The sequence below is a fragment of the Homo sapiens genome, chromosome 12 (assembly GCF_000001405.40).
Source record: "Homo sapiens chromosome 12, GRCh38.p14 Primary Assembly".
Lineage (NCBI taxonomy): Eukaryota > Metazoa > Chordata > Mammalia > Primates > Hominidae > Homo > Homo sapiens.
In genome coordinates, this window is record NC_000012.12 from 23,931,206 (window position 1) to 23,957,121 (window position 25,916).

General features: G+C 33.6%; 1 protein-coding gene across 42 annotated transcripts in view; it reads right to left on the minus strand.

The window, feature by feature from the left end:
- The window catches only part of SOX5 (SRY-box transcription factor 5), a 1,033,147-nt gene that overhangs the window by 401,702 nt on the left and 605,529 nt on the right, over positions 1–25,916 (minus strand). For 7 of the 42 annotated variants that reach the window (XM_017019889.2, XM_017019888.2, XM_047429451.1 and 4 more), the window contains exons 1-2: positions 19,188–19,722; positions 18,359–18,456 (exon numbers count right to left, since the gene is read on the minus strand). The exons of 22 other annotated variants lie outside the window; for them this stretch is intronic. In XM_017019889.2, coding sequence (XP_016875378.1) covers positions 18,359–18,456; positions 19,188–19,319 — 230 coding nt within the window. In that variant the 5' untranslated portion in view covers positions 19,320–19,722. Of the gene's footprint in view, positions 1–12,965; positions 13,108–18,358; positions 18,466–19,187; positions 19,723–25,916 lie in introns of those variants that run through there. 13 more of the 42 variants (XM_047429455.1, XM_047429454.1, XM_047429453.1 and 10 more) reach the window with 6 other exon arrangements.

Genomic DNA, 25,916 nt, shown 5'->3' on the forward strand with positions numbered 1-25,916 from the left:
ATATTGACAATTCATCATCAAGAATATTAATAGCTACTATTTATTTAGTGCTTACTATATACGTGGTCCAATTTCAAACAGTTTACATACATACAATTACTTACAACAAAAAAACCATTTTACATATGAGGAAGATGGAATTCAGAGAGGTTAAGTAACTAGCTTCACATCACACAGCCAGTGAAATGTATAGCCAAGATCTGAATAGAGGGATCTGACTCTAGAGCCTGTGCTGTACATTACCTCTAAAGAGGGGCAATTTTCAAATTGATAACTCTTCTGTTTGAATAGAGAGGCATGGTATAAAGTAGTTAGAACACAGAAGTAGGAAACTTTGGTAACGAAAATGTCACTCCATAGATCTTGAAATATATTTCTTAAAGAGCAGAATAGTAGAGTTAAAAGAGAATAGCCTGTACTTGCTTCTAATTTTTTTCAAAATTTATTAAATGTTTTAGAAACTTTAAACAAGATTATTTCTGATTTTCAATTTGTGAGAACAGTGAATGACAAATGAGGAAATGAGTTGAATCTGTTCTGACTGAGGTAAGTAGCATCTAGCATTTTTTCATAAAGAACAAATGTTGTAGTTCTAAGTATGAACTCTAACAAAATACACTTATACAATGTCATGTTATTACACGGACTTTGTAATCAATATTTTTAGATTACCTGCAAAAAATGGTATTCATGGCTATCTTCAGAGTAGACATTATGAATATGTGGTAATGGTTTCTTGAACTAAGGAAGCCCTATTTCCTCAACAAGGGTCAGTTAAACTCTATGCAAGACAAATCACCATAGCTCAGATAGCTTTCTGAGAACAGATTAGATTTCTTAAAAATCTAAGCCAAAAAAAAAAAGTTTCCATGAACCTGGTACACCAAAATCTGAACTTGGTAGGTACTTACTTCTGACAGATCTAATTACAATCTTAAGTGATATAAAAAAGAATGATGGTCCAATACCTGTCTTAAGAGCCCTGTATCTAACCTGAATCTAACCATGAGGATAAAATCAAATCCAGATCGTGAGACATTACATGAAGCAAGTGGCCTGGACTCCTCAAAAATGTCAATGTCAATGTCAAGGCAAAGAGATGGCAGGGTGCTATTTATACTTTAAAGGGACTAGAAACTAAATGCAATATCTGATGCTTGACTGGACCCTTGATTTTAACTTTTTGAAAAAGACATAAAAAGCATTACTGGGACAGTTAGAAAATGTGAATATGAACTGTATGTCAAATGTTATTACTGTATTAATGTTAACTTTCTTGGATCTGCTAATATTATTGTGATTATATAAGAGAATGACCTTATATTAGGTATGTTAGCCTTAACTTACTTTCAAGTGAATCAGAAAAGAAAGAAATAGAAAGTGAAGGGGGCAAAGTTAATAGTAAAAAGTATAGAGGTGTTCATTGTGTTATTATTTCAACTTTTCAGTACATTTGTTTTTTATTTTTTTTGAAATAAAAAAGGAGAAAAATGAAAAAGGTTTCTGTATCTGATTAAATGAACATTTTTTAGGTGACCACAATGTTTTCGGTTACAGCAAATGTAAAATCAAAAATCTTCTTGGTTGATCACTTAGATTTACCATCATGATCTAAAAGTACCTAAATGTTGTCATAAACAGAAGTTCTAGAATAATTATGCCACAGACAAAACCATTAGTTTTGAAGATAAGTGTTACTTTGCAAGTGGAAAAGAGCAGTATTTTTAAGTAATATTCTCATATTGATAAAATGATAAATTGTAAAATGTCCTTCTTATTCCCTACTCTTCCCTATAGTAGCCATCTCCACTGCTTTCATTCACACTGATGTGTACTTTTGTCCTGCCAGATGACTTGTATTAGATCCCCTTTTACATAGTTTTGCTTTCTGAAGTTTCATTTACCTACAGTCAACCAAAGTCTGAAAATGTTAAATGGAAAATTCCAGAAATACACAATTCATATGTTTTTAATTATGTGCTGTTCTGAGAAGCAAGGTGAAATCTCAAGCCATCCTGCTCCAGCTAACCCTGGACCTGAATCATCTCTTTGTCCAGCTTTACCCACGCTATATATCCTGCCTCAATTATCAGATGGAAAAAACATAACATATACTGTACAGAGTCTGGTACTATCCATGGTTTCAGGCATCCACTGGGGGTTGTGGAGCATGTCTCTTGCCTTGCAGATAAGCGGGACCTACTGATATTCACATTGTAAGTGCTCAATAAATATTTCTAAATGAATAAATCAAAATGGAAATGTTTCTATGTCTACAGCACTCTAAATGTGCAAATAAATCATGAGAAAGCATGTAAAGTTACCTTATCTGCTAATTTAATTTTTAGGATGACTTTCAAAATTAAGTCAACCTGGAGGGCCCAGTGAGATGCAGTATTGCTCAAAATTTGCAGAAATGGCAATGGATCAGAACAGTAAATATAAAGTTTTCATGCTTCAAATGAAGACAACTTGTGCTATGTTTACAATATCGAATTCTAGGGTCTCACCAGGATGCTCTTCAGGTACTTGAGCAGATCCAAAAGTGTTTCCTGAGGAAAATTCTTGCTTTGTCTCTGTATACTCTTAAACCTGGAGCAAATTTAAGGACAGAGGTGGGAGTGCCCTCAATCTCGGCAAGAATACAACTCAGTCAAGAACTGATTGTTCCTCATCTCTTAGCAACAGCCTGGATGTAACAACTGTTATTTAAAGGAGATAGTTTAAAGGACTTGTTAGCCTTTTCTTAGATCTCTGCCTGTATCCTTTCACCAAGAAATCTACATACCTGGCAAACATTAGTTTAGCTACTTATAGAAATGCCTCCTTCCACTAAGTTAGTTATCATTCAATATTCTTTTTCTTATCTGGTCTCTACTAAAAATGGCAATGTGAACAATGCCTCTGAATTTTCTGTAATACTTCTGTTGAAGACATTTTAAGGATTCATAAAATAAATTATTCCCTCAGATATCAGGGCTCCCAAAACAATTGTGATTACTGATACAATAGTGAGCTTCTTTCCATTAGAAAATAATAAACATAAACTTCATTATGAGTCAGGTAACTCAGAATTATTCCCAGCTATGGTTTTAGTTTTAGAAATTCTCTTCCCCCATTTCACTTTATATATACACATACATACATATAAAATATTCATGTCAAAAATCAATTTTATATATTATACATATGTATATGTATATCACATATGATGTGTATATATGTATACACATTATACACATACATGATGTATATGTATTATATATTTATAATATATATGTCTAATATATAAAATACAAATGATTATACAACATGAATATTTTATTTTAAATATTTTTTCATCCTCTTAAGCAGCCATAGTTCTGATAAATCCTGTATAAACCACCAGTTTATACAATACATAATGTTCAGCATAATTTACTTGATATTTATACATCCATAGGTAGTTCAATGTTACCTACCATATTATATGGAGTATTCTTAGAACTCTTTCTACATGATTAACATCTGTTAAAGAATAATCATAACATACATTTCCTAAACATGCTAAGTTATAAATGATTTCTTATTGAAGCACTAAGATGACCTATAATATGGGAATAATTATAATCTCCAATTCACAGATTAAAGAATTAAGGCATGCAGAGTTTATGTAAATCGCAAAGATCACAGAACTAATCAATAATGAGGCTATAAAATAAATGTAAGCAGTCTGACTCCAAAGTACTCTTGGAACTACAAAGTTAGATGGCTTCTCCTTACTAAGGTATCAAGAAATCAGAAAAAGTAACAGAAGCCTTGGACATATCTGCATGAGGAACACTTAAAAGATTAAGACTTAAAACAGAGATCCATGGATCAAGCCTACATTAACGCATATTCATCCATCAGTAAAACTGAAAAATCAGTGGCTGAAAAACATGAGGTTCATTTCCATTCCCCAATGCCTCGTTACCATAAAGCTGCAATCATATTATCAGTCACATTATTTTATCATATCTAATTGAGTTTTCTACTCAAAATTACCACACTCTTCCTGCTACCCAAATAAAATCAGTTCATCATGGCTACAAATTAAAGAATATCCTATTAATTATACCATTATTTACCAATTCATCATCAACTTTTCTAAATCAATATCCCCACATGAGATGTGAACACTGACACACTTAAGAATTACTATACTGTAAAGAGGCTTTCTGCCTACTGAGCTAGCAAAAACAAATCAGATAAACTTTTTAAGCAAAAATACTGCCTGTCTGTAAAGATATTATTTCAATAGATGGCTTACTACAAAGGACTTGAGAAATGGATATTTGAGAAATACTACATAGTTACACTTCTCCCAGTAAGGAGAACTGGAAGTCAGTATCTCTCAAAAACAGTTCCAGTTAGCCATTACCAAGAAACCCTTTACGTAAGTGTATATATGCCTGGATATCCACCATCCAGCATATCACCTTGTGCAATGAATGAGTTAATTCATTCAGAAGAAAATTAGAAGTTTATATCACAATTATTTTATGTCATTTATATCATCTACATTTTCAATATTTATTCAGCATTTAATATAATACCTGGTATAGTAGGAATTTAAAATGTAGTTGTTGAATAAATAAAGAAATATCTGCCACTAAAATAAATAACAGATTATAAAGTTATGGTAGCACATTATTTTCTAGATCAATACTATAATGTGATGGTTAAGAGGGATAATTAGAGTTTGAATGTCCGAGTTTGTACCCCAGCTTTTCCACTTATTACCTAGAAATTAGGCAACTCTCTCTGTTTCATTTTCTTCATTTGTGAAATGAGGTAAAAAAATAAGATTGTTGTGAGGCTAGAGTGAAATAATGCATGTAAAGCAATTTATAACAGAGTCTGGCACATAATAAGTACATACTGAATGTTAGCTCTATCTTTATATCTATCTCTATAAGTGTATCTCCATATGTATAGAGAAAGTTTGGATCACATCTTGTGGGTCAATTTAAGAAACTGTGTGTAGTATCAGCTGGGATACAAAAGCTGAAGGTATTCTTACCCCTCCACAAACTTCTTTAAAACTCAATAGTAAAATTAAAGATACATATAGTGGCATTTCAAAAAAGTAAATCTAATTTCCCATTTCAAATATATAATCTCTAAAATAATTTAAATAATTCTTAAGCAAACATCTTCCTTTCCATTGTAACTCCATGGAAGTTTGAAGAAAGTGACAGTATTCATGAGGTAAACATTCACATCTGTGAATGTGAGTGTTAACTACTGTAGCTTTTAAAAAAGTAATAAAATTCCACTTTGTGGTAGAAGAAGGCTAAGAATAAAGACAGTTAATAAACCCCTAAGTCTTTCTAACTCATTGCTACCATACTGAGCTATGAACCACTAGAATCTAGATAAAGATAGAAGTTTTGATTTCCCTCCATCCACAGGAAGCTATAAAGCAGCACCATCCAATAGAAATATGAGAGCCACAAATATGAGGCACACGTGTAATTTTAAATTTTCTAGTAGTCATATTTAACAAGTTTTTAAAAAGAGATAAAAATAATGTTAATATAGATTTTATTTGTGCCAATATATCCTACTGTCATTTCAACATATAATCAACATTTTAAAACTTAGTAAGATATTTTACATTCTTTCTTTGAACCTATGTCTTGGAAAGCCAGTGCGTATTTTATATTTACAGCACATTTTGGCTCAGATTAGTCACATTTCAAACTTTTAATAATGATATGTGAGTAGTAGCTACCATATTAGAAAGGAGCACAAATAGAGAGGGACTCTGAGAGCGTTTCTTTATACTTTCCTAAATCACATACCTGTTTGTCAAGAGCTAAGAAGGTCTCAATATGTATTTTTCCATTCACACAACCTACATATATAACCTCAACAAATCAATAAGCTAACACATTCTAATAGCTTGATTTTCCTAATGTTTAAAAAGACAAAGTATATCTCAGCTAAAGATAATACAATAGGTCAAATTATTACTTAGTCAAAAATTTATGTTTTGCCTACTCTAATGCTAAGGAACAGTCTATAATAGCTCTTGCCAACTGGTCTACAAATGTAAAAGCATCTAATATATGATATTTACCAATACTCTTCTATTGAGCATTTCAGGATTTCTCCCTCACCTTTAGGTAAATGAAATGGGTCAAACAATTAGATTTTGCCTATAATTTCCTATCCATAGCATGATTTTCCTTTACTGAAATAGTGATGAAACAGTACTGCTCTGATTTAATACTATAAATTCAGAACAAATGGGAAAGCATTAAATTTAGAAGTGCTTCTGGACCATTAACTTCCATGCTAATTTGACATGCACCATAGTATTCAGGCAACAGATTCAGGAATATAACCTATTCCTAAAGCAAACAGTACTTTATCTCATAACCATCTGGGGTTCTCATCCTAAGGGCCACTTGCTTAGTGTTGTCTGGTATTATTTAATATCCTGAGGCAGAGCACTAAGACCTACTTTATTAGTGAAACCTACTTTGCCAGGACAAGAAGACTGACATAGAAGAGATTATGGAGGGAACAAAATTTTGGCTGAGGCCCTTGTTTGCATTATTTAGCTGAAGAAAATCATTGGTTATACATGCATTCAAAACCCTATGGTTTTTCTAAGGTACCAATAAAAGTAATACCATTCTTAACGTGGACAGTGGTCTCTTTCATATAATGCCTATAGTCACAAACTTAAGTGCCAAGCAGATGGTTGAAATCTGTTTTGTATAAAATGTGCGCTTTTTTTTTTCCCCAACTGTGTTCTTTGTATTCATATTCAGCCTAGGTTTTAGCCATCAAAACACTGGCACTATGTCGATCATTAGCAGCATTTTAGACAACTGGCAACTAAGGTATTCACTGTTCTCCACAAAATGTTCAGCTAATATTTCCCAGATGTATAATTAAGGCAAAAGATCATCTTCTTAAATTGGTATCAGCACTTTGGATGGCTTCTGGCTTTCAACAGATTATATCAGTGAAAACAATTTTTTATCAAAAATAAGGGTTCTGTTTCTTAGGTGATTTGGTTTGCTTGTTATAGAGCTCCACATAAAAAGAAATCTATGTATTTCTTCAAGCTTAACCTACAGTCCAAAGAATATGTAGCTAATGCAAAACCTCTTATGTTGCTTTTACTATGAAAATCTATAATGTGCTAGATTAGTACACATAATTGTGTCAAGTTATTTAATGTTTTCTAGTTTTCAAAATGTTTGTACAAAGAATACTTTAAAAAGCAATAGTATGTGTGTGACTTCTTAGATTAACAGAAAAATCACTGTTTTCAGTTGTTCAATCATTTATTCTACGAAATGATTCATTTTCGTGATTATGCAAAAATAAGTGAACTTTAATTTGTGCATCTTAAAGCATAGGAATATGTTAAATCAGCAAATTCATTACTCAAATACTTAATATACTGATACTTGCAAAAATAACTATTAGTGCATCAGATGTCCTATATATAAAATGACAAGAGATGTGTTTTTGGAATATTTAATTATGAGCACTAAGCAGTTAGAGGAAACTACAGTTGCATTGCTGCTATTTAAGTACACGTTACCTGGGATCAATAATCATAAGTACATTTAAAACAATTATATTAACTACAAAACTAAAATATAAGTAAACCAATTTCTTACATGTATTATTTTATATGCTGAAATAATTTGCAGATATCTGACTAGTATGTTATTAAACAAAAAATCATTTTTATTAAAGTGCTGATCATTTTACATTTGCCAAAAATTAAACCTAGTTTTAAAAATCTGAATGCAGTAGCTTGCATTCAGACATATCCAAATATTTTTATGATTTTTTATAAGCTTAAGCTGGCTCATTTGCATTGGGGGATAAATAATTTTATATTTATTTTTAAGTCCATTCATAGACGCATGGCTGAAACCCAAACGATGCAAGTGACTTATACATCACAAAGTTCTAATTCTTGATTTAGAAACTGTAGGAACATATGCCAACTTTGTATATAGCTAAATGCTGGATTATAAAATATATTAGCAGTAAGTTGCCCAACTGGATGATTTCCAGATTTTCTTTCTGCTTTAACAGTAGGATATTTGCACATTTCTCTTTGGTCCTAGTTCTAAATGTAGTGCTGGTTCAGTGAGGTTATTTTCTTTCTTTCTTTTTTCAACATTTATATCTATAGAAGGAGAACAAGAGAATAATACCCATTCTTTGTGCCTAAATTAAAAGCGGCAGGAATCAAATAAAAAAATCTACATCATAATTATTCTGTAAAAAAAATTAATTTTAACATAGCAAATTCCTGTTATCTCAAATACATGAATCTATATTTTAAATATAAACTAATTTGTACAAAGATTTCATGATACCACAGACAAATTTTCTAAGTAGAGATAATGCGGAAGGACCTTAGATATGTATATTCCTGATGGTATAACTACACTGTTTTTCCAACACTGCATTAAAAAAACAGCATGCGACCTGCCAAATATATTAACAATATATGAAGCTTGTTCTCTCGATACAGCTTTTTAAATGCATACTTCATTGCTTTTTGCTCTACTCCCTTGCTTTGCAGAGTTTAACATTTCTTTTCTTGAAATTGCCAACTAGCAACTATAGTATAATGCATATCAAATTGGCTGGCCTGGTAATGCTAATAGTTATTTATTTTGAGAAACACTCAAAATTTTTCTTTGGACTACATGTTTGTAATCTTAGTTGATCTTGCTACTTTCCAGCCCAATGTTTTAATTATTCATATAAAGACATATACTGTCCATAGCCCCTGTGCTGTACTCATGCTCTCCTGCGGATTCTTCATATTTTTTCTTTTCTTTTATCCTTATAAACAGACTTTTAGATCCCTGACCTAAAGTGCCACTCGTATGCTTTTCATATTTCCCCATAGTGTCTTGTTCATTTAACCATATATAATTTATCTTTTACAATATTTATAATTGTTCAGAATAGTGATCTGATGCCTGAGAGTTTCAGGATCATAGAATGTGAATCTTATCTTTTGAAACACTTCAAATAGCTCAGAGCAAAGTTGGGCACCTAATCCTAAATAAGAATTATACATGGTATTTAGATTAAAAACTCCTAAGAGACACCATGGCTGCTTGTTCCTGTGTAATGATACCTAATTGACAGGTAAACTGAAGTGCTTCTATATGTAAAGGCTGGCTATAGAGATAATCTCCAAATAGCTACATAAATGCAAGAATTCTGACCACTAGAGTTAGGAGCTAGGGACACTGCAAATGTAGTTCAAAGTAATGAAATTTTAGAGTTAACTGATTTTAGAAATTATCCATCCTATCTTCTAATTTTACAGATGCATACTCTTAAGAGTCAAAGAGGTCTCAGTTTTTAAAGAAGAACTAGAACTTGAGATCTTAACATCTAGCTAATAGCGCTTTGTACTATGTTACATTTCCAAAAGAATCAATGAAGATACTGGCAAATATAAATCTTAACCTAGAAGAGGAAATTATTTTATTTACAGAGGAGATAAGTATTACACACACACACACACACACACACACACACACACACACAAACTCATTCATTTGATAGGTATGCTTTAGACCCTGAACACTCAACTTTCATATTATCTCAACCTAAAACCTCAAATATCCCCAAATGTTACTCAAGCATACCTTGATTCACCCAACGTCTTCGGTTCAAATTTTCCATTAAATATGCACCACAATACCACCTTCAATTTTTTCAAGATGGAATACTATTATATGTTCCTGTAGCACATGCCACAGGATTCTGAGCTGCAAACAAGAAAACGGGAATGAACCTTGTTTGTATTTCTATGAAATGTTTCTTCCTTTCAAGATTTTTTGAAAAAACTGCAGCTTCATTAGAATTTGGCAGGATTCATTCAAGAGATCAACTGCCCTATAAATGAAAAAGTTTCTCCTGGCTTTCTAACTTTTGCATGTGCACACACGTATAACTATTATATTCCCTAAAATAATCCTGCACATACCTGTTAGTGACTTCCAATTATCTTTTAATTTACTTATAAAAGTCCAAATATGTTGCCCCATCACTTTGATTCTTTAAATTGCTATCAGGATCTTTTGGATATGCTTTTATTTCTCTAGAAGAATGCTTTTAAAGCACTAAGTGTTCTTAAACTGTTTATAGGTCAAATTAGATCCATATTATTTTTCAAGTAATGCTAACATTTTTAGAAATAATTGTACTATAAATATTTATATATCATAATCCTTAGGGTCCTAAAAATAATACCTTTTCCTCTATTTCCCAAATTGTAGTTATATTTAGGACTGGAGGAAAACAGAAGTTCTACTCTCAGGAATAGCATTCATAGTTATCTTTCTTTTACCATTCCTAGGTGTTCTGCCTGACTATTGGTACTTTGTATATTACATAAAATATAATAATAGATAATGCTGTATCATAGATGACAAAGAATCTGAATCTGATATTTTATATTCAGTTATCACTCAAGATCAAAGTTGAATTAGTGAATGCATACTAAACTGAATAGTTTGAGCACCAGTTCATTCCGTTCTACACTAAATAATATGAATACTATACCTTATCCTAACGAATCTCCAACATAGACCTCTTAGAGTACAGATAAGAAAAAAGGAAGGAAATATTAACCTGAATTATATGTGACATCCCCCTGCAACCTCTTTTCAAACATATTATGAAACTCACTAGCTAATAAAAAAAAAAAAATGACAAAGGGACCTCAGGAGAGCAGTGAAAAAAAAGTCTTTGGACTTTGAAAACCATTGCCCAACAAACACTGGCCCAGGGCAAATAACCAAAGGAAGAATTGTAGGCAAACAAATAATACTTTAACTTTGCAATTAGAATAAAAGTGTTTTAGAACTTTGTCAAGCAACCTAATTAACTGTGACTGAAAAATTAATAGTATAATAAAGTATTACTTTTTTATCTTGTGTTCTCCTAGGTGAAGGAATATTTCTCATTTTCAGTGTCGTATTTCTTTTTCATTAGGATGATCTTTTATTAGATAAATATAAAATAGCTTAAAATGGTACGTGAAAGATCTTATGTAAAAGTTTCACAACCAGTGTTCAAACAACCTATCTCCCTGGTATTTCAATTGTACTTAATATAAAAACAAAAACAAAAACAAAAAGGCAAACTCAGTACTAATGTAAACACTGACAACATTCTGAAATAAATTTTGATTAAAAATATGACAAGAAAACATGATTTGGGTCTACCTCTTGTTTTACTCCTACACTAAGAAATTAACAACAGGCAACACAGGTTAACTCTTTCCCTTCTTTTCTTGAAAATGTTCCTGAAGCCCTGAATGAGAGGACACATCCTTTATAAAATTGCTGCTCAGTGTCCCAATTGATCTAACTCCCTTAAACTGCCAATATCAAAATCATATAAGGCTCTGAGGCTTTTTTTTTTTTTTTGGCTCTATGCAGTGAATTTCATTTCTTCTCTATTACACTTACTCTCAATGCATCTGATCCTTAGGTTGGTCAATGTGACAGAATTGATTGGGAAAGGTAGGGGAACCAAGAGTGCATAGGACATAATGAAACCCCATGCATCTCCACAATGAGAAATATTAAAGTGGAGCTACACATACATTTTTAAGAAAGATCATATCTTCTGTTTTTTAACATTTTCTTTTCTAAAACACACTTTCTTTCAAAGATGTGAAGAGCAGAAATAGAAACGCTGTTACATATGAAAGTTTCAACGGATTTGCTGCCAGCAGCTTTTCTTTATAGTGTTCCTCTTACCTACACTATGTGTTGGCACTGGCAGGTAGCCCTAATTCGTTAGTAGCCAAATTATTTTTGTCCCTGAAGTACGAGAAATCTCCATAGCACATGAATGAGACATGGTTTACTAGTTTACACACATTTTATAACTCCAAGAAACCAAAACTCATTCACAAATGCTTTCATTTCAGCAAAGAGAAGGGCCACAGAATATCAGAGATACCCACTTTGAATTCCTGGTCCCCATTGTCCATGAGTAAGTGAAGAGAAAAAAAAAAAATCTCTTTAACTTCAATAAAGAACTTTGATCCTTAATGCAAGAAAAATAAACAGCTTTCTGTTCACCACACTCCACATTTCATTTAAGTCAAAACATTTCAGTACAAGGCATTAAGAAAAAACGTCATTTAGTAATAAACCTAAATGTCTCCAGATAAAAATTCATCACGACGGCATAGTAGGTTTAGATAATGTGGTTCATAATAACCAGCATCCTCATATTGCATGATCATCAGATACATTTATACGCTGCTGTACCACCTTCACTAAGTTACAGAGAAAAATAATAAGAAATAAGCAACACTTAGAAAGAAACACATACTACAAAAATGCTGATTTAGCCACAGCAAAACAAATCTCTGAATTTTAAGGCAAGACAAAAGTAAATGTATTAACACTAGAGAGCCAAGTGACTAAAATGTTACTTAGATAAAAGAGAGGTTTCAAATACAATGAGCCGAGTTCAGGTTTGAATTGATTTAAGGTTTGACACTGATTTCAAATGTCTATGAACATCTACAAGCTTTTGTTTTAAATTTTCCTTCTGTCATGTTTTATGGGCAAAAACTCCTTAAACTACCTTGTAATAGATTAATTACTTTCAAGCTGGGTGACAAAAGGGCATAATGACCGGAAAATGATACAAAAGAAACAAAAAACGCATGTTAACAAGTTTATCAACAAACCTGGGTAATTCTCATGAAGTACAGATTAAGGTTCAGTGGTTCCAAACTGGCAGCATTCAAATTGGGTTCATATTTGGGTTTTTTGTTTTGTTTGTTTTTTTAAACCACCTGTCCTAAAACGACATTGTTTATGCTAATTATCTTTGTTTATGCCACAATTCTGTTTGTTTACTACATTCTTTTAAAATACCATATCCCTATAAACAGTTCTCACCAGAATTCTTCTAAATCTTGTTTCGGTCTGGTCCTTCTCGGCAGCCCACTGAGCAGAATGCAGCTCTACAATGAAGGCGCAAGAGCTGGGAACAACTTTGAGTCTCTGACTCCTCAGGCTGGCAAAGGGAGGGAGTACTGCTGAGGTTTTACTCCCAGGATCCAAGGGAAAAGGATACTGAATGTGGAGAAATGCAACACCCCCCTATTGGACAAGCAAAACCATACGCCACAATATCTCCAGAGAAGATGTGTGAACTCTCAATTAGTAAGTAAAGAAAAGAATAGACAACACTAAAAGAAAGAAAGAACAGCTTCCAAACTGCAGGAGAAAACACAGAGGTCAGAAAGAATAAAAAGGTCTTCTCCTAAACCACTATCAGTTCCTGATCATAATGAAGGAATATGTGGCATTCTCCTAAAGCATGTCAAATTTAAATATTTTCTCACTCTAGCAATATCACTTGATCCTGTTTATCTACATAGCAATCAAATTTCACATTTAATACAAATGATGATGCTATCAATCAATGAAAGAGAAGGAAGGAGATAATGAATGAAGGAAGGAAGACTTTGTTATGTTTTTGTCCATTTCTTGTTCAAGAAAATTTTTCATTAGGAAGGAGATATTTCATGGTTGGGTTAAACCTTTGAAAATCTTTTTATCTTACTGCCATCATCTGAGTCAGAGACCTGGCACATTGGAACTATACGTGAGTTAGTACAAGAGAAAAACTTAGGTTAGTTTCTTTCCCAGGCTGTTGGATAACCCCATTGAAATTATAAAGGAATAACAAATTATGAAAGAAAACAAAACTCATCAGTTATACTTATTTAACTAATCTATAAAAAGGGAGGTATTCAGCCTACATAATGCACATCTGCATTACACAATATACTCATTAGGTTGCTGAACAATTGATAGTGGAGAGAAAACAGACAATAAAAATCAGCCTTTACCCATGAATGTAATTTTGCTTTCTAAATGCATTAGGAGTATAATCCATATGAAATAGTTTCCAACTCTGTGGAGGACTAATGTGCTAAAGAATCAGAACAGGTCTTATTATATGTCTCTCATGTATGATGCGTATACAAGATTTTTGTCAAAAACTCCCTAAGAACAGGTAAATACTTTAACATGTGCTTATTATATTTGAGAAACATAAGATAAGGACACACCAATATGTGAAGTAATCATAATATTTGCACATTTCTGTGTCTATCAAACCTGCTAAAAACTGAGCAGTACACAATGTCACCTGACATTTAACCCTTAATTGTTCCTGGTAATCAGTCAGGTCTCCTGCCAAGTCTTCAGGACAGTATTCCAGCATGAGAGTGATAGAAATGTGGTTTATGAACTGCCTCATGCAAGCTGCATTCCAAACCAATGTCTTAGCTCAGTTAGCTTGCAAATTATTGACACGGTAATTAAAATCTATATTCAGTTGTAGACATTGTCTCCTCTACAATGTAGTAGTAAATAAAATATAAATAAAATTATCAAAGCCTATGAGAACATCCTGAAAACGTAAAATCAAACTTACAGGTTTACAGTTGCCATTAGGTGACAGAATGTGAACAGATAACTTTTCTGTGATTCACACCTAGAGTGTGCCTGCTAACCTGAATGTACTTATCACTCATGAGCACAACGGATTTTTTTGTTGTTGTTGTTAAGGTTTTTAATTAAGCAAAATATATCTGTGTCATAAATATTTCATGACTATGGTCAAACTTTAGGTAACTAAAATACCACTAATGTCAGAGAGTAGTTTTCTGCAAATGTCTAGCAGTAGCTTTTCATGGGAATTTTACGAATTAGTTTGTAACAGCACCTGATATATATTTCTTTCTTCAGAAAAACACTGAAAAGTGTCCTAATAAGAAAAAAATTATTTAGTCAGCATGACCAGAAATAAATTTGATGGAAATGTGAAGTAAATAAGTTAATTTTTATTGCAGAAGGTTTTACTATTGTAGTGTTCCTTTCAACATGTAGAAAATCTGCTGTCTGTTGTCTGCACCAATTTGGGAGAAGCAATCAAATAGGTGATACTAACAACCTAATTTGCATAATCCCACTACTTTCAATCCCAACTTTTTTTCTCCTTTCTAGACATTATCAGAACTGTCTTCTTAAGCAATCGTCTTACACTTGCTATTTAAGTTTCTAACATAAAGCAATTAGAAACTGTAACGGGAAGCTTAGACACAAAACTATTATGTTACAACCAAAGAGGACAGATAAAATTAAAAGGAAAGAAATAGAATATTGAGAAACTATCAAAAATGGACATTTTTACTTATCATGAACAAACTAATATTGACATTTAAGGCAAATATTTTCTTTTCATCCTTGAAATATCAAAAAGTAGGTGACATTCTCAAAGGAAAACCTTAAGTCACAATTTTTCATTATCTACTTTCAGTTAAATATATAAATTTATTGACTTCTTTTAAAAATGTGGGGAGACTTCGGGCGTTCATTCTAATGATGCTATTACTCACATTTAGACCATGTTGCCAGCTATGTTTCCTTTAAACGGTAAAATGTAGAAGACTTTCCTTACAAATAATTTTTTAGAATATATACACCCATTTGCTTCCCACCTTGGAGTTGTGTTTTTCAGTAATCATAATCAGTTTATCACAAGAATGCTTGAAAATAAAAATATTTCAAGTTCTTTACCTTTTAGAATCACTGTTCTATTTGCACTACCTCCTGCATATTTTTAACAGACAATGAAATTGTTACTACTTCTTAACTATTTAACAACTGCTTATTAGTCTGAGAGTACTGACCATGTTCATTTCTAGGGATGATAATATAGACATATACAAATCTAAATCCAAATTTTGATCCTGATATTTAAGTTCTGAATATTCCTTAAAGTTCAAATAGTCTACAGGCTGGGAAGAATAAAAGATGGACAAGACTCTACCAATGAAATTAGTAAAAATGATCACATAAAACTTTTACAGTACATGAACCCTAAGCAATTTATTATGTCCTCTAGATCAAAGTTCTCTATTTCACAAAGAAATTTAGAAGTCTTCTTTTAGATTTCTAAGTTTAAGTGGGAAATTCATCTATAGCAAGTGACCCAATAGAATAAAAATTAACAGTCAATAGAAATGACCTATTTATTCAATGAAAGTTGCAAATAGTTGAAAAGGCAAAAAATCTAATTATATGTGATAGTTTAGTTACATCATAAATACCTCCTTTGAAGAATATAAATATTCAATATTGTGTCTACATGATACACTGTATCATGCATGGGTGCCTATAGAGACACTCACCCGTACAAATTCAATGTAAACAAATAGTAATGATTTGCTGAGATCTTTGTATGTATTACCAATTACAACCACAGGGGAAATTATTAAGGAACGTTATATTGTGTGACATTTTTCAGAATTATTTTAGCTACTAATATTTCTAAATATGATAGTCATACTAACAACCCTATTGATTATCACTTGCTTATTTAATTAGCTAGTTAGAAAAGCATGCCTCTGGGTGAAAAAAAAAAATGAAATTCCCACCAGGAGGAAAAAAGATGTTAACAGATTTGAGCATCAGAATAGGAAAGGGAAAAGTTTAGTTTAAAAAGAGATAATTGAAAAAAAAATACAAATAAAGTTCACAGCAGGAAGCTTGCCTATATAGAGAAATAGGCTACAGCCTGTTAATATGTAACTACCTTTTTATAAGTACAATCTGTTAACAGGCTTACAAATCAGCCTCAGAGTTGTATTTGCAAAAAGTATAATTAGAATTAAAGAATATTATCATTTAAGTGCTACTCTGTGCATTCTAGAAAACTTAACTGTGTTAAATTAGCAAATCGCTACATTAGGTAATGTACAGTATGTTCCACTATGAATAACTTCAACATCTACCTATGATATAAGGCTATATTTGCAAATAAAAGCTCACTAATTAAAGAGTTAATATATAGAAGTGAAAATTTTAATTCAAAACTGTTAAGAAAGCTCAAACATTCGCTGGAATTATCTAGTAAAGATGCAATTTAATTATTAAAAAAAAAAACACAGAAGAAATCAAAGAAAGATGACAGCACCGAAGTATATGTGTTGGCTATTTTACTTTCTTCCCTGATTTGATACTGGCTTTTCTAATATGTGACCACATTCAAGCGTTACTTTATCCTCAATACTCTTTTTCTCTTCCATTGCTTCACTTCTAGAATGTTTTAATCTTTGTCCTTTCTTTTTTCGTCTTTTCATATCAAATTCAGTCGTTTGAGCGATGAACAGCTTGACTTAGCATATTTTTAACCAGCTGGTCTAGCACCTAGCTTGCATTGCATAGTCAGATACAACAAATGTTTATACAGAAGGTAGCTTTCATGAAAATGAAAAAAAGCCTGGGTATCATGCATCCTGGCTTTTTTTAGCTTTTTTTTTTTTAATTCACCATACAGAATACAAAGTTTGAATTCTTTTTAATGGCAAACAAAATTCTATTTATAGTTCAAAAAAATGAACTTATGCTGGGATAAGAACTCAAATTTAAAAATTGCAATGTGTACTTATAGGAACATTAAGAGGGCTAAAATTCTTTCAAAGCCCTGCTTTACTTGCAACAACATCAAATAAAAGGATGCTGCAGATATTTCTCTAAATAGGAACAACTTAATTACAAATACACTATTCCCATCATAGCAAAAGGGGAAAATACAGTAAATTAAAATTCAGTCAAGACAGCTAACACAAAAAGTGGCCACTAAAACTTAGAAAGGGAACAGCTCCATTTATCCCCTTTTCGCCCCTATTTTTGACACTTAGGGAGTAATCTAATATAGCGATGATGTTAAATTTTCTTTGGGGGGAAAAAACGCTCTCTTATATCAACAAAAGGTCATGTGCTTTACTGAGCAGCTTCCAAAGTTTTACGGAAGGATCAAATAGGAACTTATAGCCTCCGTTTAAAGCACCACTAAAACCTTCTGTCACCCTAGAAATTACATGAGACAGAGATGCTGAAAATGGTAACATTCTGCACAAAAGCGTTTTTAAAAGGTGGGGAGAAAACAATCAATGAAGGAAGAAAGTAAGAGAGTGAATGAGAAAGACAGAAGCAGCGAGTTGGGGAGAGAGAGAGAGATGCTTAAGGTTCATTTAATTTGCTGTTATAGGACGCAACCTAAAAACATTAGCAGAAATCTCGGAGACTTTGCAAATCAGTTCAGTTTGGTCCGGGCAATCACAACAAAAAATCAGCTAACAAGATTGCAGAAGCCCTAGCTAAAGGCTTCTCTAACAAACACGTTTTGGGGGAGCATCTTCCAATGATTCAGAGACTACTGTAAAATGGGAGAGTTGTACTTCAATATATTAGGGGGAAAAAACTGTACTCACCTTTCAAACTCCTGAGGTAAATCAGGGTCAGTAAGCATGCTGGAAAAGCACAATTTCCCTTTGTCACAGCAGCCACCTATGATCGTCTCCAACTGAACCTGTCAAGTGAGTCCAAACCTTCTAAACCAATTGATTTTCTCTCTGTCTCTTCCCCCCCTCCCTCCCTCCCTCTCTCTCTCTCTCTCTCTCCCTCTCTCTCTCTGTCTCTCTCTCTCTCTCTCTCTCTCTCTTTCTCCCCCCCTCCTTCCCCTCCTCTCTCTCCTAGGACTCCTTGACCAGTCTCTTAAAGGGGTAGTGCACTTCCAGCAGCGGAGTCTGGCTGCTCCCCCCTCCGCGGAGCCACACGCTCCGGCTGCAAGGCTCTAGACAACCTCAGGGTGCCTGTCCTTTCCTTTTAATTCTCTCTTCTAGACATCACTGAATGTGAGAAGTCAACTCATTTAACACGTCTCCCATACTCTGTCTTCTAAATCATAAAACTCACACACACACATACACACGCAGAACAGTATGATTTTGTAAAACGTATTTGCTGCTGATTAAAAACCTAGTCTATATAATAACAGAAGCTCGATTAAACTGCATTTATTAACTAATTAAGCAAAAAATTTAATGTTAGTAATAGCATTTTTACACAAAGAATTGTTATTCCTTCTCACCCTTTTCTAGGCTCTCTCCGTTCACACACGGAAATACACGCACACACACACACACACACTCACACACACACAACAATCAGGCATTGTTCTGAGGGAAGAAAAGCAACTTTGACAGATTGAAATATAGCAGAGGCCCCTTCAAGGAAACCTGTAAACAACTTGTCACTCACTCTGTCGGTCTCACTGTTAGCTCGTGCTTTCCGCAAAGTGGTGCGAACGTCCTGGCAACCCGACCAAAGTTTCCTCAGCTCTAAACTCCATAAAACACGATGTGCGATGTGGAGGGGAATAGGTATCCACATGCCAAAATAACATACACGAGCGAACAAAAACCCAAAACGAAATCAAAACATAAAAACAAAAAGACGGTACTAACAAACTGTCCTGTTTGGGATCGCTGGGGAGGTCAGGAGTAGGAAGCGCCCCCCTGGCTGTGGATCTCTTTAATTTCCTCTGCCCAGGCAGCCACAGATAACAAGGTGGACAAACTATGGCTTTACAGATTCTAAGCTGGCTGGCAAGGCACAGCCTCCATAGCAGTTCCAATTATCTAGATAAAAATCTGGCAGCCGAGAAAGGTAATCAGGTAATGTACCTTTGACACGAAATGACAGAGGCACATACACACAGAGAGAGAGACACTTACACAGACATGCATGCAGAGATGGTGGCTGCCCCGTGCACCGCAGCATCTGGTCAGGGAGTAAGCACACACTTACCAACAGGAGATAGTGTGCATTCTTCACACACGCATGCACACACACACACACACACACACACACTCACTCACGCACGCTCTCCACTCCTACTGGGAGGGTTCATTCTGCACAAAAGGCTACATTACAGAGCCCGCCCCAATAAGGGAAAGAGAGGAAAAAAAAGCCTTCCATTGTTGAGAGGGCAGGTCAGTTGATTAGATTTTCTGTGGAGAATTCCACGAGGAAATTCCCTTCAAAGCCGAAGTGATTAACTGGGGGCTATTCTGGAAATGGAGCAGACAATGGCTCAATAGTCTGTACAGCCAATGTCCAGGCTGGCACTGAACTCACTTAAAAAAAAAATAAAAGCCAGACTCCCTGTTCTTTTCCACACATTCCTCCCCCCCAACCCCCTCCACTCCTTCCAACTTCCCCTCCCAATTCCTTTTATTTTGCAGCTGGACAACATTAAGGGCCTTTAAAACCACAAGGGTTGACCCCACGGCAGTTTGATTAGGTCCCACTTTTTTTTCTGGAGACAGGCAAACAGTAAGTTTACTTTTTTAGACATTCACAGTGATACATCATACACATATTCCAAAGAGAAAAAAATCAATTATGAACTTATATTAGTAAATTTATTTTTCATTCAAAGCTTATAAATTTTTAGACAAGTTGATAATAACTTAATATTTAATTCTATCATCAGGAGATGTTCTAAAAATATATATATACACACACACACACTACAAAATCAATGTGGAATAAGATTTAAGCATGTCACTATGGAGTTAAGACACTAACAAAACATAGAACTATGACCCACCCTGAAAAAGCTGTTAACAAGGGATGTGGCAAAAATGACTTGATGCTGACATGATTTTCACTTTCAGCAGTTGGGGAAGGGGGGAAGAATATTACTCACTATTCTTTCTTGTTGTTAGTCTCAAATTATTTTTTGTTACAGCAACAACCTACTCCCACACAGAAAAATGAAAAAATTGTTGCATTTATTTTAAATCTCTATTTTTTCAGCCCTTAAGGGACCTACAATCTAATATACTCTAATGGATAATGTATACAAAAATTATATTTTTCTTCATTTGTTAATGGTTGTTATGAGAATTAGGGTATAGTAGCTGCATAGCTATATACACTTTTAAAAATATTTAAAATTTTTTTCCTAACTAGGAAAAATCTTGCTTATCTTATATCAATAGAGAAAAAAAGTGAAGAAGGAGGATGGGTGAGTTACAGGGAGCCATGGGAGTGGAGTCAGGAAGAGGAGGAGGCGGGAGGAGAGGACGCAGAGAGAGCACAAGGAGACATAGTGGCAGCATAAAGATAGAAACAAAGATAATGGCCATAAGGCAGGATGCTGAGATCCGTATGGTCCCAGCTGCTGTCTTGCTACAGCTACTACCTCTGGTTGTTTCTTTGAAACTCTAATCTAGAAGGTCACCAGAGCAGGTAAGAAAGAGTATGAGTGTTTGAGGCCAACTATAGTATAAAGAAAAGATACTCATATTAGAATCTTCCTTATATTTGATTTTGATTTTATTGGCACTTAATATATGTATACATCTGTACATATGCCAAATAAACACAAAGAATATAGAAGAGAATGTTAAATGGTTTGAAAGTTAGTTTTTTGACTTCAATATATTCTGCAAACATTACTGTAGCCATTCAAAAGACAAATTATTTCTTGCACAATCATCTATGCTGAAGGAGTTGAAATAGACGAGGAACTAGACAGAAAATTTGCCAAATAATGATCATCCTAATAATGATAATTTGAACTAATGGAACTCTAAGATCATAAGGAATTTTGTTCACATAAATTAGCTCATGGATCTTACAGAGTAGAAAGGGGTAGGTATGTATTTCCCTAATTTTCCCACTGTTTAACTTGGGCAAACAGAATTTAAAGTCATTCAACTGGTTAGTAGCCCATTTGTTGCTTGAAGCCACTTCTATCTATTTCACTTATGACACCATAATGCAGAATAAACTGATCCTCCAGAATTTATAGTTAGATGAAAATCCCAAGATGGTACTCATACTTTAAGTGACCTGAAAGGCTTTCAGGTAATTGTTATAAAAAATAAAATTTATAAAAGCTGTCATTAAGCTAATACTGTATATGATGGTTTAATTGAATATTTTAAAATGTACCTCTCTAAGCCATAAAAGTTTTCTTTCATTTGAATCCTATATTGAAAATTAGCATTTCTGTCAGACTTTAGAATATCAGCAAAAGGAAAGACTGTTCCAAAATGTTTTGGTTAAATTTTGTCTTGGGTTATTTCATTAAATGATCAAAATGATCCAATCAATACAATGTTTAATATTAAAATACTGTTAATTGAATCTTTTAAATTTTGCATTAAACGTTAAAATGTTTAAATATTAAATATGTGTTCATGACTAGCGCATCTATTAAACCCAAATTCTTTTTCAATTATCAGAAAAGCTTAAGATATTCAATTGACTATAGATATTCTTTACATCACAACTAATACCGCAATGTGATGTTTGTTAAGGTTTCAAAATACATCTGGGTTGAGACATACTTTTGCATTCACTTAACATCTATTAAATGCTTACCAATATGTTAAGTGCTATGGCTTTAATAAAAGAATTTTAAAAAGTTATAACAATTCTAATTATATATATGTATATAAAACCAAATTTCAAATCAATTTTTGAGTATTCAAGCCTTCTGAGGCAGATGTAGTGAGAAAAGTTAAAACAAAAATAAAAAAGCAAATGAACAAAACATAGTGCTAAGAACTGAATAATACATAAAATGGTAAATAAGTATGATCTACAAGCACAGATACACAAATAAAATATATTTTCAGAGATGACCAAAGTGCAACAGTAACCCAATAAAAGTTTTACATTGAATGAGTCTTTTTGACACTGCCGCATCGGTATAATGGAAAATGGAATGAACATGAAAAAGTATGCTTTTGAGCTCATGTTGTTTCCATTGCAGATATAAAAAGGGGATTGACACAGGCTAAGGAATATAAGATATGCTAGAGAACACTGCTGGAAAATTCTCAAAGAGACTATCAAGAACTTTTAAAATCACAAACAAGTTATTTTCAAATTTAACCCCTTTTCAGGTATAGTTTCCAGCATGCATTTCTACTATTTTTGTCCTCATTTTAAAAGGATATATTTTCATTCCTCTATTTTAGATCAGAATCATTAAGTATCTTCTATTTTAATACCTGAAATAAAAATATGTGGTCATAGGTGCAAATTACACTTCCATATTTGATATGAATTCCTACCATCACCCTAGTTTTCACATCTCATAGAATTTGGAAAACTTATTTTGAGAAATAAAACTCTTAATATTATAATCACAATGTATTTAAAGCATATCAGTGTCAGACAATACTAACATTTTATTGCCTTAAGGTGACACAATGGGCATTAAGAAAATGCCTTTTGCCTGTGCTGTTATTTACTTTGTCACAAAAAATTAAAATTAAAAAGAGGACACTTCCTCTTTCAAAAAAAAAGAAAGAAAGAAAGAAAGAAGGAAACTTCCAACCAATATACATCTGTGAGTCATTCACCAGATGCCTGGTGAGCTCACTATTGACCTATCACATGTAGCTTAAAACTCTTAGACTAGTGTCTTGTAATAGTGGACTTCTTCAAAAAATACCTTAGGCATTCTATAGCCTATCTTCTTTTTTAAAGACCTAAAATTCAGTCCACCATAATACATGTATGCCAAGGAACTGGTACACAATAGCCTACAAATTCAAGGTTTTTCTAACTTCATACTCTTTCTATTGTCAGTTGGTTAGAATACACAGATGAATTGTTCTCAGATTGCATATTTGAAGAAACAGTGTTCTTCAGAAACACCTTCACCTTAGAAACTCTAGTTTCATACTTCTCTCAAAGAAATGATGTCATTTCCAGTAACTGCTTTCACTGTTTGATCTTAGGATTTAACTTCTTATTCAGAATAACTTGAAATAATTTTAAATAAAAGCTTTTATTTTATGAGGAATTTCTATCTATATGATACATAATAAAAGCCATTATCTCATTTAATAGTCAAAACAACTAAATGCGATATGTAGACTTATCCCAATTACGAATGAGGAAGTCCCAAAACTAGTAAGTGCAGGGCTGGAGAACATCAAAATTATTAATATGCCATATTTTCTGCATAGTTTTTAAAGGCAATGAATTTTAGTTCATCTCAAATACAGCATAATGGCAATTAAGTATAGAGTATACAGGAAAGTGCTTCATAAGTATGTTTCTATGGTAACCAAATGCCCAAATTTTGGACAAAGTTAGGATGAGCAATGACTGTCCCACTTTCACAAATAACATAAAAGATAGTTCATTCACACAATTAAAACAGAGAAGAATAGTATTCTTATCTCATTTGTAGTGATAACAATCACCAGAACTAGTACTACTCTTCACGTAATTTGGCTCTATTTTTAAGAATAATTTCTAAAATAGGTTTCCTTGCCTAATACGTTTACAAGTTTCACAATCTCAGGTAAAACCCAGGGGCCAATTTTCTGGTCCCCATGTAACTCCTTTGCAACGGAATTTCTGTCTTATAGAAAGAATCGATTATTTCAGGCAAAGGTTGTCAATTAGGAAAATAAGACCTACTCAATTTATGCTTTTCAATTTATTTTTTTACTCTCTACACTATCAACTCTCCTTGTGATACACATGGTGATGTCTAATGGTTTGTTCGCTTATGAAGATGAAAATGATGTAACTCAATCACCCTCGTGGTAAAAATCGGAAGGTTTCTTTTGAGTAAAAAAAAAAAAATCCATATAACCCATAAGAAGAAAAACCATTCAAGTGGGATCATACAAATAAAAGTGCTCTTGGCCTTCAAACTTTCTGCATTGTAATTTTTCAACCTGGAAAGTAATTCAGGGAACATCCTGCAAGACATTTTACCTAGAGGTAGCAGCAAAGTGAAAAGTGGCTCCATTATCTTGCTACAATGTAGTTTTGTTAGGTAACATTCTTGTTAGGTAATGTCTATAAAATATTTTAGTACACAACATTCAGAGAGGTTTTCCCACCGTGAATGTATACATTTCATTTATTAACTAATCAGAGGAGAAATGAGAGTTAAACCTGAGGTAAGTATGAAAATGTTTGAAAAATTTCCTTCATTTTTCAGTTGACTACATTTGTCTATTCTCCATATTCTCCTTTGCTTGTATACTAAGTGAATGACAAATCTTATTCATAGTAAAGGAGAATGTTGCCTATTAACAATGTTCAGTCTACTTGTATCTAGCACAGTATAGGGGAAGAAATTATGGCTAAGCTGAAAGTTAGGAAACCTGTGCTCTAAGGCAGGGATCTCCAACCCCCAAGGCCAGTACTGGTCCATGTCCTGTTATGAACCACAGCAGGAGGTGAGCAGTGGGCATTATCACCTGAGCTCTGCCTCCTGTCAGATCAGAGGCAGCATTAGATTATCATAGGAAGGCAAAACTTATTGTGAACTGTGCATGTGAGGGATCTAGGTTTCACTCTTGAGAGTCTAATGCCTGATGATCTGAGGTGGAACCATTTAATCTCAATGCCATACTCCCACCTCACCTAACCTCTCCCACCCCCATGGAAAAATTGTCTTTCATGAAACTGGTCCCTGATGCTAAAATGGTTGGGGACTGCTGCACTAAGGGAGCCTCTATTACTCCTTCCTTATTAATGCAATGGTCTTGCCTAAGTCTTTTTTTTTTAAGGGGAGGGGGACAGAGTCTCACTTTGTCACCCAGGCTGGAGTGCAGTGGTGTGACCTCGGCTCACTGCAACCTCCACCTCCTGGGTTCAAGTGATTCTCCTGCCTCAGCCTCCTGAGTAGCTTGGATTACAAACACATGCCACCACACCCAGATAATGTTTGTCTCCATGTTGGCCAGGCTGATCTCGAACTCCTGACCTCAGGTGATCTGCCCAGCTTGGCCTCCCAAAGTGCTGGGATGAATTACAGGCATGAGCCACCATGCCCGGCCATTGCCTAAGTCTTTAATGTCTCAGAGAATGTGATTTCTAAGGTCCCTTTCAATTACAAACTTCTGTTTCTATAATCTCTTCTTTGATAAATCAATTTATCATTTCAAAAATAAAATTTCTTGCCTTCCTAAGTCCTTCTTTACAGTTTTAAGA